The sequence below is a fragment of the Homo sapiens genome, chromosome 10 (genome assembly GCF_000001405.40).
Source record: "Homo sapiens chromosome 10, GRCh38.p14 Primary Assembly".
Lineage (NCBI taxonomy): Eukaryota > Metazoa > Chordata > Mammalia > Primates > Hominidae > Homo > Homo sapiens.
The window spans coordinates 107,385,388-107,401,182 of record NC_000010.11 but is presented as its reverse complement, the minus strand read 5'-3'; the positions used below and the strand labels follow the sequence as shown (position 1 = coordinate 107,401,182).

Below are 15,795 nucleotides of genomic sequence, written 5' to 3'. Positions count from 1 at the left end.
TCCAAAAGCAGAACTTCTCATCATCCTGTGATTTTAAGTTAGAAAATTGAACAAAATCTATGAAACAGCTGTTTTGGGGCATTGAGCAATATTACTGTGTGGCTCTGTTCCTTGAGAAAGAAGAAATAAATAAGCTGAGCCCTATGGTAACCCCAGGCTATCTACCTAGGAACACTTTCCAGACAAAATTGCATGGGTAGAAAGGCTAAGGAGAATGCAGTAGTCTCATTGAGTTGAAATTACAGTTCTAGGTACTGAGGTGGCTGGAAATGAAGGTACTATAAGAGACTTCTTGAGTCTTTGTCTAAAAACTAAGCAGCAAGTATGTAAGATTAAAGAAAATGAGGATGAACAAGAACAATTTCTGGGGTAAAAATGATAACTACCTGAGAGCTGTCAGCTCAAAAAAACTTTCTAAATCTCACACAAAGCTAAGAGATGCTCACATTCAGCCAGATTAGATAAAGGAAACTTATTCAAAATACAGGTTATTCATAGATGCCAACAATTTCATCACTTATGAAGTGGATTAAACTAGACCTAGTATGACTATTACTCTTTAGGACTTAACATAGCATAAAAACAATCTAAAGAGTATCAAGTAGTTCAACAAGTAACTTAACTGACACCTGAAAAAAACCCCAAAGTACCTTCAAAGAAGATGAGAAAAGCAATGTCACTCAACAATGTCACTCAACAATGTGACATTAAAAACATCTGACATCCAATAAAAATTACTAGACATATGAAGAAGCAAAAAAAATTGATGTACATTTGTGCTTATATCAATGATTCATACCTTTTTTATTCCTCAAATGTATTTCATTGTATGAATATACACAAATGTTAATCTATTGACATTTGGCTGTTTCAGCTTTTTATCATAAATAAAGATGCTGATGCTGGGATAACTGATTCTCCGTATGCAGAAGATTGAAACTGGACCCCTTCCTTACACCATATTCAGAAATCAACTCAAGATGAATTAAATACTTAAATGTGAAACCCAAATCTATAAAAATTCTGAAAGATAACCTAGCAAATACCATTCTGGACATAGGACCTAGCAAAGATTTCATGATGAAGATGCCAAAAGCAATTGTAACAAAACCAAAAATTGACAAATAGGACCTAATTAAGAAACTCTTTTTCAACGTAGTAAACAGAAAACCTACAGAATGGGAGAAAATATTTGCAAACTATGCATCCAACAAATGTCTAGTATCTATAAGGAACTTAAAAAGAGTTACAAGCAAAAAACAAACAACCTCGTTAAAAAAAAACAGACAAAAATCCAACAAAGGTCAGAATCTACAAGGAATTAAAAAGAGTTACAAGCAACAAACAAACAACCTCATTGTAAAAAACAGACAAAAGACATGAATAGACACTTTTCAAAAGAAGACATACATGTGCCCAACAAACATATGACAAAATACTCAACAGCACTAATCATTACAGAAGTGCAAATCAAAACCACGAAGACATACATCTCACACCAGTTAAAATAATTTTTATTAAAAAAACAAAAAATTACAGATGCTGGCAAGATTGTGGAGCGAAGGGAATGTTTATACACTGCTGGCGCAAATGTAAATTAGTTCAGCCATTGTGGAAAGCAGCTGGGTGATTTCCCAAAGAACTCAAAACAGAATTACCATTTGACCCAGCTATCGCGTTATTGGGTATATACCCAAAGGAATATAAATCATTTTACCATAAAGACTCATGCATGCATTCATTCACTGAAGCACTATTCACAATAGCAAAGACATGGAATCAACCTAAATGCCCATCAATGGTACACTGGATAAAGAAAATGGAATACTATGCAGCCACAAAAAAAGAATGAGATCATGTCCGTTGCAAAAACATGGGTGGAGCTGGAGGCCATTATCCTAAGCAAACTAACACAGGAAGAGAAAACTTAATACCACACGTTCTCACTTATAAGTGGAAGCTAAACATTGAGTACATATGGACACAAAGAAGGGAACAACAGACAGTGGGGCCTACTTGAGGGTGGAGGGTGGGAGGAGGGTGAGGATTGAAAAACTACCTATTAGTACTGTGCTTATTTCCTGGGTAATAAAACAACCTGTACACTAAGCCCCTTTGATACAAACTTTGCCTATATAACAAAACTGCATATGCACTCCCGAACCTAAAAAGGTGAAAAAAAAAGTAAACCGATTTTAAGTTGTTAATATATCTATACATCTGTAGTTGTAGCACTAGTGATTGATTTAATAAATTTATAGTTGCAAGCATGAAATAAAAGATTACAGCTCAGCAAAAAGTATATACATAAATAAAGGTGCTGTAAATATTTTTGCATAAGACTTTTGGTAAATACAAGTGTTTATGTATTTTGAAGCTCTATTTGGTGCATACTATTTAGAAAAATTATATCTTCTTAATGAATTAACCCTTTCATAATTATGAGATTATTCCTCTTTATCTCCAGTAACATTTCTTTTTCTAAAGTCTACTTTGTCTGATACTAATATAGCCAGTCCAGTTTTCTTATAATTAAAAATTGCATGTTATACATCTTCATTCCATCCTTTTACTTTTTTTCTATGGCTTTATCTTTAAACTCCATTTTTATAGACAATGGATGGTTGGGAAATACTATTTATGAAGTTCTATAATCTCTTTCCTTTGATTGGAATGTTCAGATCATTTCAATTTAATGGAATTATTGACTGGGATTCAGAATGAGATACATTTGATATCAGATATCAGAGTTTGTACTCATCACCAATGGTATTTCAAGTTCCTAGATGGAAACTATAGCCTATACTTGTGTCTTTGCTTCAAATGGCTTTAGTAACCTGTAGCCCTCATTCCTGTTTTCATTTTTAGCAATGCAAGCATTTTTAAAAGTTGTTTGGAACACAGAGCTTGACATATGGAAAAGTACTTAGGTATTTATGTAACAGAAGAGAATGCTGGACATTTACCCAGTACAAACACCACCTCTACCATCTTAGAAATTAAGAGAATATATCAATATTATACAAACAATTCACAATTATGGTAAACATTTGAAGGAAATATATATTTTTCTACCTTCTGAATGTATGCTGAACCTGTTAAAGATGTTACTAAGTAATTTAATGTTTTAAGTTTTTCCTTAGTTAAATGGGGATATTTGCTTAAGTCTAGACAAAAAAAAAAAAATAGATTCTTTCTTTTGAGACTTGAAAACACACCCACATCTGAGAGACAGTTAAGTAGGGGCTGTATAGAGGCTGATTGTCTAATTATATGACTCTAAAATATTCTTTAATTCTGAGATCTAAGGAGAAGAGAGTCAAACTATTGTATTTTTTTTTAACAGAATGGGACATTCTGCAGCAAATCTCCCGTTAATGAGACACATCAGAATAACCAAGGATTAACTGGGAAGATGTCAAATTTCATTACCCATTTAGATTCTGTATGGCTGAAAACAGAAAGCCCATGCGCATGCTCTCTTTCTCCCCTTCCTCTCATTGAGCAACCAGGTGCTCAGACTCAGAACATGTTCAAGGTCGTGCCACTTGCTTGATGAGAAATTCTTGGCACGTTTTCTGTCAGTGTTGGTTTCCTCTTCAGTGAAATGAGACTAATAAAGATTCCTACCACATAGGGCTTTGTGAAAGTCAAGTAATATGTGTTAAATACTTAGCTCTATGACTGGCTTAAATAAGGTCTTGATAAACAATATTTACTGTTGTTATTTTCATCATGGTTTCTTTCTTTTTTTTTTTTTTTTTTTCTTTTTTTGAGACGGAGTCTCGCTCTATCGCCCAGGCTGGAGGGCAGTGGCACGATCTCGGCTCACTGCAAGCTCCGCCTCCTGGGTTCACGCCATTCTCCCGCCTCAGCCTCCAGAGTAGCTGGGACTACAGGCACCCGCAACCACGCCCGGCTAACTTTTTGTATTTTTAGTAGAGACGGGGTTTCACCATGTTAGCCAGGATGGTCTCGATCTTCTAATCTCGTGATCCGCCCGCCTCGGCCTTCCAAAGTGCTGGGATTACAGGCGTGAGCCACTGAGCCTGGCCCATGGTTTCTATTTTTAACATACAAATCCAGAATCTCATTCTTCAAACACTTCGCAGATCCTCCTTGGATTCTTCTATTTTAACCACAGAATCAAAACTAAACATCGCCTCTTCTTCTTCCCAATTCTTCTATACACAATACCTCATAAACGGCACAAAGGAAATTTAAATCCTGATATGGTGATGTATAAAGCAAATTAGAGATTCACAGTAGGGGAAGGCAGATCTGGTCAAACTTTTCCCTGAGTTTTTGTGTAGCTGTAGTCAATGTCTTAAATCTCTGAGTTTCAGGGGTTTTTTCTCCATAAAATGAGTGATTTGGGGAATAGTCCCTGAGGATGCTTCCAGCTGTATGTGTTTATGCGCCTTCATCCAACTTTGTTTTTATTTTAATATGTCCTGGTTTATTTTAATATGTCCCACCACAGACATAGAGTCGCTATAAAATAATATAAAGGCCACAAAGAATTATTAGCAGAAAGTCCAGGAAAGTTTTGCGTCTCAGGTGATCTTGGATCCATGAATCAAGTCTCAAAGGGCAATCTACAAAGATTCTTGTAAAATAAGATGAAAATAAACATATTTTTTTATTCTACTTTTTAAAAGGAATACGTTGGTGAATTAACAAACAGTGACAGGAAAATGGATTTGAGAAGTTAACTGTAAAGCTAGAAGAGCTCTGTAAAGCATAACCTTTATCTGCATTGGTAAATAAAAATCTAGAGTGGAAAATGGATGAGGGAAGAGAATTGGAATGAATCCAACAAGTAACTGGGTTATAGCTCTGAGGCGAGGAGAATCAAGCCCTCAGTGAATGTCAGTTGCACAATCAATTCTTTAGGAAAGAATGATAACCATCAGCCTCTGAAAGGTGTACTTCCATGTGTCTGGGAAGAGCATAATTCACAGGAGGATAGGCCACACATGCGATTATTGAGCACAGGGTTCCTGGGTTCAGTACTATTAGGAATGACAATTCAGGGACACAGAATTTACAATCAAATAGAAAAAAATAGTAAATATACGACACAACATTAAGAATATATTTTAGAGAGTCTATATTCCCACTCGCATTTGAATTTTTTAAGAATAGGAACTGGTTCTAGTTTGTCTCTATCCGTTCCATACAAAAAACACAATTCTTGGCACATGTCAGGTGCTTAATAGAACTATATATTTTGAACAGCGTTTTGCCACACCATACAGAGCCATGACTGCGAGTAGGAAGGGAATGCTAGGTAATTGGTTGTAATTAAAGTTGTGGGGTTAATGAAGAAAGAAAGTACTAGAAATTCTGGGCATATTTTTACTGAGATAAGAGGCCAGGATATTGAGGAGCTTACCTGCAAATTCTGAACACAAAATGGACTTGGGAAATCTCAATTTTGACAGGTTATTTAAATTACTCAGAAGCAGAAGTAGCCATTTTGATCTGAGAGTTGATGTACAACTTTTACTTCAAATGGGCTTTCATAAGAAAGGCATGAGATAAATTCTCATTTTACCTATCCTCTTGATGCAAGAGAAGAGCAGAAAGTCTCTCAGGCACTAGAAGCTGCAATCAGTTCAACAACTAGATATATATGGTATTTTAAAATGTGAATCTCCAAACCTTGCCAGTGAATCAGCATGATCAGGGACATTATTAACTACATTCAAGAATATAGGAAGGCCAGGAAGTTTTCTGCTCTGCATCTCTTTTATTGGCCATTCCTCTACACATTCTATTCTGCTAAGTTACTACCTCTTCACAGGGAACAACACTTATTTCCTAATTTCATGAAGGGATGGTTTATTTCAGAGATGTACAAGTAAGGGATATGAACCAACATTCCTACTGGATGGTATTTGCCATATTCCTACCCAAGCTTCTCAATATTCTCTTATAGCATCTTGTTTATTTCCTTTTTAATGTAGATCACAAGTAATCATTTTGTTAATGTTTTGTTTATATATATATAATTAAATGGTAAACCATGAACGAGAAAGACAGGTAAATCATTTACTACTCTTTCCTAGGGTCCTATACAGAGTTTGGGTCAGAGTTAGCACTTAAAATATTTTGTGACTAAATTAAGGAATGAACAAATCAATATGAAAACAAAGAGATGAGATACCATAAGAACTATTTTCTTTGGCATCTTCAAGGCTTAACTCATTCAATTATGCCCAGAAATCTCAAAAATAATTTTCTTACTATCCCAGGAAAAAATAATAAATCTAAACAGGAGATATTTAAAGCGATATCTGTTTCTCCTTCGCTCTCCTCTTCCTTCTCCACCACTACTGCCACCATGACTACTTTTTAAAGTGAAAAATTGCTTCTTGTTATAATATGCTGGTTTGCAGGAGACAAATAAGCTACCTTACCCCTCAAAATTAGGTAGGAGTAAAGTGTAATCAGTATGAAATCTTTGAAGAATTTTCTATTGATGTAAAAATCCTTTCAGCACTATTACTTTTCTTTGGAAGTGATGGGGAAGAGGGAGGCCAATTAAAAAAGACTTTGCCATTGAGTCTCTGTCTTTTTTAACGTTAGAAGCTTCAAAACCCTTTTGAGTGACGATTGCAACACCTACCAAAGGTAACTCTGGGAACTTTAACACAATGGAAAATGTTGTGGGACTAATATAGGGTACATTTATTTTTAGAGAATTGGGTAGTGCAACCTGTGGGCATTTTAAGTTCACAGCTTGAAACCAAACCCATTCCAAACACATCAGTCCAAATACCAAGGCAACATTTTAGTGACAGATGAAAATCTGGCTTAATTACTCTACCAGAGTAACCCCATCAAAATTGCCTCCCAGACTGAGAGAAAGGGCTGAAGGTCATTAAAGAAAATTACTTTTCTTAGTCAAAGTCTGTAGGAACTTAACCAATGAAGGTACTGGTTCTGTAGAATAAGAGACAGGATAGGAGGGAAAGACTGTTTTGTTTTGCTTTCCTCTGGGGAGTCTTAGGGCCAGAAGAAGGTGCCAGGAATGTTTACTGGCCTGACAGACAGCATCTTGGTGAGGTCCAGCGGCGGTGGAAATTGAGGTAATTCCCGCTAATGTTCACTGACTGGAGCACAGCCCCTTCTGACTCCCAGGAAGAAGCCAAGGTAGATACTAACTCTTAGCAGGATTGAGGAATCTGTAGCGATTATAAAGTCTAAAGGTGGAAAGTTAGCTTAAAATTTACACTTCATTTCTTTTGGCGGGTATTTGAAAGATCTTTGAAGGTTTCCATGGGGATACAAAAGCAATATCATGATAGCTATTTAAAGTATTACAGAATAGTATTATTTTTTCAATTGGCTGCTAGATGTATTTGTCCAAAGTGGAATAATTTTACTGAGGATAGGAACTAATCAAAACCCCATTTATTATTTATTTATTTTTGCTTCCTTCAAAAATCACTACCAACAATGATCTAGAAATAAGACTTCTGGATATTTACCCAAAAGAACTGAAATTAAGAAACTGAAAAATCGTGAGAGTTTTAGTGAGATATAATTGATATAAAAAGAACGGCACATATTTAATGTATACAATTTGATGAGTTTAGACATATGCAAACACCTGTGATACCAGCATTAAAATCAAGAGAACAGACATATCTAGCATAACCAAGTTTATGCTGCTTAAATAAAGCACACTTGGAGCTCTATCTATCTCCTGCCTGGATGGCTTCATCGGGATCCTACCATGTCTCAGATGATCCACATTAGACCAAGTGGTGGGGGAGGGGAATTATCTAGGAGGATACAGTGAAATTCCCAGAACTTAAAGAACTGTTGCTGGATTAACAGGGGAGGAAATAAGTTATAAGAGGCTGGAGAATTGTTTGGGCTGTAGAAACCATTATCTTACGGGTTATAATTTTGAAACTGACTAGCAGTTGGCATTTTATAGGAAAAAGGCAGTCTTTTTTTTCAATAATAATATGGGTGGCTTATTACTTATTGGGTGAACTATATGCGAGGTATTGTTCTAGACAATCCATTTGTTTTAACTCATTTAGTCTTTGTATTATACCTATGGAATAGGCACTGTTAGTATGCTTGTTTTCCTTATGAGAAAGCTGAGACAAATACAGCTGAAATAATTTGCTCAAATCAACTGGCTTTTAAGAGAAAGCTTTGAGGTTTGAACCCAGTCTTTCATTACAGCCCGTGAATTTAATTGTTATAGAAGGGGTATGAAACATACACACATAAATTATTATATTGTCAATGTAATAAAATGGTTTAAATTTTTTACCTAATAAAAAGGAGATGAGGTGGACAAGGGTTTCTTAAGGGTAGAAGAACTTGAATCGAACCATGTTAGAAAACACAAAATGGAGTTTTGTCTTATTTTTGTTTGTTTGGTTGGTTGCTTGGGTTGGTTGGTTTGTTTATTTTAGTAATTGTTAGAATTTCAATAATCAAGAATAGATAGTCATTTCCAGTTAAAACCGATCATTTGAGCAAAGTGATCATAGTAGAAGAAATGATAATAAAGAGTTGTATAGTTTTTTAATTTAACTTTTATATCCTCTCACTTTATCCTTGTGACAACCTTTTGAGAGAGACATTTTTATCACCTTCCTCACCTTCCAGACAAGGAAACTAGGTTTTAATAAATATCTTATGGAGAGTGCACAAGTTGTGTGCTGAGCAACCTGACTGGAATAGAAAATTCAAATAAAAAAGAAGACAAGATTAAAACGGCAGTGTGGAAACTGACTTTTGCCAAGCGCTGAATACTGACTCTCCTTGCTTACCATCTTCCCCGCCACTGTACTTTCACAATACCCAGAATACTCTTCTATTATTTGACTTAACAACAATGGCTAATATTTATTAAGTATTTCCTACAAGATCACACTGTACTAAATATCTCATTTATCCTCACATGAAGTAAATAACTTTACAATGAGCAAGCTGACGCTTATAGAGGTGCAAATAAGTTGGGCACATCACACGGCTAATAATAGGCTGTGTGTGGAACTAAGATTTTTTCGATGTCAGAGTTCAGGTTCTTAGCCTCCCACCACACTGCCTAATGAGTCTTGGGGCTTTCCTTTAAGCAGATTCTAAGTTCCTTGAACGTATGGACTTCTGTTTTTGTTTTCACTTTGTATAACCCATGACCAGCACAGTACTTGGCACATAGTAGATGGTCAATACCTTTTGCATTTGTAAGTAAATAATAAGAGAAAGAATTGACTAAATTAAGTAATCTGGCAGCAACAGGAGTGTAGGAGTTCTACTGAGACATGGTAGGACACAGGTGAAACCATCAAGGCAAGAGATAAATAAGGCTCCAAATGTGTTTCATTTAAACAGCATAAACTTGGTTATCTTGGATATGTCTTTTACTTTGATTTTGGTGATGGTATCACAGGTGTTTGTAGATGTCTAAACTTGTCAAATTGTATATATTCAATATGTGCAGATCTCTGGATGTCAATTATACCTTACTAAAACTTCCATAATTTTTCAGTTTCCTAATTTCAGTTCTTTTGGATAAATACCCAGAATTGCGAACGTTGGATCATATGTTGGTTCTATTTTTTAATTTTTTAGGAACCTCCATACTATTTTAAATATAGGCTGCATGATTTTTGCATTCCCACCAACAATGTACAAACATCAGGGAAATGCAACTCAAAGCCACCATGAGATAGCATTTTATATCTGTCAGGATCACTGCTATCAAAAACAAATAATAACAAATGTTGGTGAGCATATGGAGAAAGCAGAATCCTTGTATTTCTTTATGTGTTGTGAACTCTGTAATACTTTGAAGTTTCATTTGGCTTTAAGTAGCCACTCACTCTGTCAGTATAAATTTTTAAAATGATGTTTTACTACATATTTGCCACTGTGGTCCTTTTATTACTTCATAAAGGTTTGGCTTTCATCTACCCAGATTTTATTCTACCTAAAGAATATCCTTTTGCATTTCTTGTCATATGGGTCTCCTGGCATCTAATTCTTTAAGCTGTTATTTATATCAAGTTATTTTTATTTCAGCTTTGTTTTCTCTCAACAGTATATAGAATTCTAGATTGTCAAGTTTTTAAAATCACCTTAAAGAAATAATCCTGTTGTCTTTTGTTCCCAATAAAGTATCAAATGGCATTTTTATTTTTGTTCCCCGAAATGTAATATATTTCTGTTTCTATGGCCACTTTTACAATTTTTTAAAAAAATTTTTGATTTACCTTGGTGTAACCTTCTTTGTATTTCTCTAGCTTGGGGCTTACTGAGTACTTAGATCTGTGGGCTGATGTCATTCTTTACTTTGGAATGCTTTTTTTCGTTATATCTTCAATGTATCTCCATGTGCAACTCTAATTTATGGAGTTAAATCATTTAATTTTGTCCTGCAGGTATCTAATGGTCTGTTTTTAATTTATTTTATTTTATTTTTGTCTTTGATTTTTAGTTTAGATAATTTTGATTGACCTATCCTGGAGTTCAACCATCTTTCCTCTTGTGTGTCATTCTGCTGCTAATCTTTTCTAATGAATTTTTAATTTTAGATGTTGGGGTTTTTTATAACTCAAATTCAGGAATGTCTATATGTTTCCTGCCGAGAATTTTCATTTTTTCATCAAAATTTCCCATATGCTCCCACATGTCTATTTTTCACTTCAGACTCTTTAACAGATATGTGATACATTTAAGGTCCTTGCCTGTAACTTTAATACATAGGTTGTTTTTGAGTGTTTCTATTGATTTTTCTTTTCTTTATTGGGAAATTTGCCTCTTGATTATGGGTTGTATTTCTATGCTTTGTTGTTTATCCTATATTATTTTTTATTGTATGGCAGATACTGTTATAAAACATTAGAGACTGAAGTAGACAATATACATGTTGTTTTTCCAGAGACCTCATGCTTTTTCCTATGTCAGGCAGCTATGGGGAAGGGCTAATCACTTAATTTTAATCAGTTGCTAATCTGAAGAGGGCAACCTGAAGCTTTATTTAGTTTCAATTCAACTTCACTTTTGAATGTTTTGAGGATGAGTTCCATTCTTCTCTATAGCAGGCCTTTGAGATCGAAGCACTACAAGATATAAAAATCATGAGGAGCGATAATTTTATGTTTAAGGGTCTGCACTGTTATAGTACTTAACAACCCATAATGTCATTAAAAATTTCCTGATTTCTCCTTGTACCGGAAAACTCTCTTCACATATTGTAGGTTTGCTCTCCCACTTACCCATAAAAAGAATAGGCAACTAATTCCAAGCACAAAAGCAGCCAATGGACCTTGCTCACCTAGGAATAGACTGATCCTCTTTGAAATTTAGTTTATTTAAGTTCCTTGTGTCTGAGATTCTTTAATGGCTTTAAAAGAAGGTGTTATTTTGTTTTCGTTTATTCAGGCTTTTGTATTGTTAAAGAAGGAGTGATGGCTTTTGATAACTTTCTACATCCTAACTGGGAGCAAACAAAGCTCTACATTGTACTGTTATTTTAACATGGACTGAAAAGGAAGATGTAGGAAAATAACATGACAAATGATATAAATTGCAAACTGAGGAAAAGGGAATAGATTTATTCTGTATCAACAAAGTGGATAGAAATGTATTTTGAGCTAATTTGAGAACTAACTTTTCAAATCTAGGACTGTTCAACGATGAAAGAGTTTCCTTGATGTGGTATTGCAAGTTCCTTGTCACTATAGATATTCAAAGCCAAAGCGCAATGGCTACTTGGGCATTGCAGAAAAGGAAAGGAAATTCAAAACTGGGTTTAGTTGGGGTGATTTTTAGAGTCCCTTGTAGCACAGAGGTTTTATGACAAACAATATGACTACATATATGTTTTTCCACTGAATTCTCACCTCTAGGAAACAGCAGGTGCCTTCTGAGGCAAGGCGTTGCAAATAAAAGGAAATCTTATTTCATGTTGAGAGTGCTTTTTCAGGGAACTACTGCTTCCCATAAATATTGTTGGCAAGCAAGTAGGGAATCTAGAATGTCCTAGGACCTGGTATAGGCAAGACATATGGACCATTTGTAAATAGGTTTTAATAAACCCTTGAGTAACATTACATAGTAATTGACTATTTACTTGCATATCTTTCTTTTCAGACTATATGTATGAGGCTAGTGAGTTAGATTTTTCTGCTGAAATTACAAGACACTGACTCTGCCTAATTTGAGCAGAAAGTGAATTTACTAAGACATTGAGTAGTTCAATGCATTTCGTAGAGAACTGAAAAGCCATGCTTGCACACCACACAGAAAAAAAAATAGCCAAAGTCATGCCACATGTCCCATGATGTTACCACTGTACCCAGGTACCTAAGAGTGAGTGAACTGTTACCACTACTGCTTCTGGATCTCGGATATGCTTTTTTTTTTCCTGCCGCCATCTTCACCAACATGAGCTCCACCACCTCTTGTGTTTTACCTTTTTTTGCCTCACTAGCTTTGAAATCAAAGTAGACATGAGTGCACTTGTTTTGCAGAGTCTAGATCACATCCCTGCATCCTAGCTATAGGAGAAGTTGGAAAAGGGAGTAGCTAGCATCTTCACTTCATACTGGGAAGTAAATTCTGCCTTCTTTCAATACTTATGAGGTGGGAAGTCTCCTACACATAGAACAGGAGTACAGATACTTGTTACACATGTTTATGGAAAGTATAAGTTGAGTTAATGAATGGCAGAACTAGGAATAGCTATTAAGAGAGGTTAGGCTGAGCTTAACTGGAAATGGGAACTTTCCTTGGGTCTTTCTCCACGATACAGAGCAGGATCACAATGTGCTCATTCCTTTAAGAAGCCAGTGAGAAGACCAACCTGAGTTTCATTTTCCATGACTTTATTCAATTCCTTCTGTGTCCCGTCCTTGAAGCAAATGGGATTCAATGGTGAGGACAGACATGTGCTTGCATTGATAGTGACTACAGTCTAACAGAGGATAAAGATGTCAAATTAAAGTTGTATTCAGTATTTTACATGTGTTCTGAGAGTGTGCCATTGGGGATATGACCTGGGTAAGAGACTCAGAGAAAGCTTCTCCTGGGAAGGAATGACTGAACAAAGATCTAAAGAATAAAGAGGAAATAATAGATAAAGGGGTAGATGGGGATGATATGTGAAAAGCATTCATGGCACAGGTGAGGTGTTTACAAAGGTCAAGCATTGCACAGGAGGCTGGAACAAGGTCTCTTAGACACTGAAAAAAAGACCAGTTTTTGGATCCCCAAGGGTTTTGTGCAATTTCAAAATACAAAAGGAGACAGGGATAAAACAATATTGAATATTGGAGAGGTTATTGCTTATTAAAGATATAGACTTTTGTCCTAAGGAATTATGGGAAGTCATTGAGTGTTGTTTGTTTGTTTGTTTGTTTTTTTAAAGAGCTCATTCTCCTACAGTTGTATTTGGGTTTGGAAACAGTTACTCTAAATCCAGTGAGGAGAATGAGCTACAGGGTGCAAGAATAGCTACAGGACACCAGCTAGAAGGAAATGAGACTAGTGCCAACGGAAGTGGATGATGGCTTTACCTAGGGTGGCAGCAATGAGGATAGATATAAAAACATATTAATCCCCAGCTAAAGCTGAGGGTGATATTGTAGAAGAAGGTAGTGAAAAAGTACAGACACCAGCCTTGTGTGCACTGACACCCAAGTTAGTGCTACACCAAGGATGTTAGCGATAATCCAGTCATAGCAGACTTTTCCCCAACTTCACTATTTGCTGCTATTTAAAATAAACTTTTGGCATATAAAATGAAATATACTTAGGGTTTCTGTATTTCTGTCTCCTAAAACTTGAAACATCCATTTGGTCCAGTAAAATTTTTAATAAACCCTTTTTGTATTCCTACTTAAAAAGTTATCTTTTACATCTTTTAACTGTTTTAATTAAAACAGTTATTTACTGGACAATAGTTTCTTAACCTACAATTACTTTATTAAATATTGCTAACTTTCTAGCTTTAACATGCTTACAATCCAAGATCTAACAAATATGTTTTTATTTAACAAAATATTAATAAAAATAAAACAAAATAAAATTATTAAATTTTAAATAAAATATTTACAGTAATTTCCTCTCAAATTAAGGTGTGCAAGGGACATTTAATTGAACTGAGAAGCTCTGGTGTTTATATATATTTAGACCTGATCTCCCCTGGCACAAATCGGGCAGAATCAACCAAAAGAAGAAGCAGGATTAATTTTTGGCTTTGTTTCTTGCGGAGTATGAATGTGCGTGACTATGTGTGTGTTAATTTGTGTGAGTGTATGTGGTATGAGTCTGTGTGTATGCAAGCATATCAGGTATGGCTTGTCATAAAAGAAAAGTATATTTCACTAACAGGTGGACCTCGTGCTGAGTAATAACATGCGTGAGTCTCAGTGGACAGAAGTTGTTAGTAAGTGGTTGTCTGTATGGCCTGAATCCTTTGCCACCTAGATCCCATTCCTTGAAATATCTCTCTCCAATCTCTATCTCAATATCTCAGATGTATTTGTGTTAAACACAAATAATCCTTAGAGAGGTGTCATGGAAATTTGGATCAAATCTTAAAGACTGGATGGGAACATAATTATGAGATATTTTGCACTTGCCAATGGTGAAAAGCAAATCACAGGGGCCATGGAAACTTTGGAAGATGCCATGTTGAAATCATAAATTTTGGTCCTATGCTACTTCTGGAACTTCAGCGAACAAATATAGGGTACTGAACAATTATTAGTGCAATAATGATTATAGAAACCTTAGGGAACCAAAAAAAAAACTCAGCTAATTTCACAAATTTGCTGAAGCCAGCTCTGTCTCCTATCTTGATGGTCTTCCCAAGTCTTATTATGGCTCACCCTTTTAGAAACAGTCTTGTGCTCCTTCAGAAAATAGTGCTTCTCAAAGTATGGTCCTCAGACCAGCAGCATAAGCATCCAAGGTAATAGCATTCACTACCCACATTTTACAGTAAAATATACTTCCCTACATATTTTGGGAGAAATCAGAGGAAGGGGACTGCATGTACAGAAAAGGGTGTCTGCATCTCTGTACCATGTCTGCTCCTCATCCTCTCCCTTCAAGGCTGCCCTGGAAACTCAAATCTGTTTCCTTTATAAATTTAGGTTACCAACATTTAGCATCAGATACTCAGAGCATTGCCTTCTACACATAGGTTTTAACTTAAATGACTCAACAAATCAGTCTCTCATCAAGAGAGAAGCCAGTGCTTGCTGTCAAGGTAAGCAATTTTCTCTATGTCCATTTTTTCTATTTTCTTCCTCTGATTATGTACTACTTGAGAGCACAACTCTATCTGCCTTATTCATCCCTGAATTCCAAACAGTGTGTCTGGCACAGCGTTCTTGGGGTTATTTACTGAACGAGTAGATGAGTAAATGCAAAGTTGGTGATTAAATCTGCAAAACATCCACCTACGGAAGTGATCAGATTCTGTGGCTGTGTAACATTTTTTATCAATAAACATATGGGAAGGTGAGACCTGTAGGGAGAATCTCAGTCAACGTAATGAGGGGAAAGGGAGCTCATTGTGCATGCAAGACAGAAAAAGGTGATCAGCCAATGGAAAGTAATATGTATATTATTTATATACACTTGAGAAACATGAAAGGGGAAACAGAGCCACAGCCACATAAGAACAATCTGGGGTTGCAGATACCTGTGTAAGAAGACAGAAGGCAAATGAATTTGGGCCCATACCTTTAAGGAATAAGGAGCCACTATTGGCTCTTGAGCAGAAGAATGACATGATATTAA

At 35.7% G+C, this 15,795-nt stretch overlaps 1 long non-coding RNA gene across 3 annotated transcripts in view; it reads right to left on the bottom strand.

Annotated features, from left to right (window-relative positions):
• Nucleotides 1-15,795, bottom strand: part of LOC105378474 (uncharacterized) — a 37,010-nt gene that overhangs the window by 3,654 nt on the left and 17,561 nt on the right. The window contains exon 3 of one of the 3 annotated variants that reach the window (XR_946302.1): nucleotides 12,779-12,895. The exons of the other annotated variants lie outside the window; for them this stretch is intronic. This is a non-coding gene — a long non-coding RNA (uncharacterized LOC105378474). Of the gene's footprint in view, nucleotides 1-12,778; nucleotides 12,896-15,795 lie in introns of those variants that run through there. 3 annotated transcript variants of the gene reach the window in all.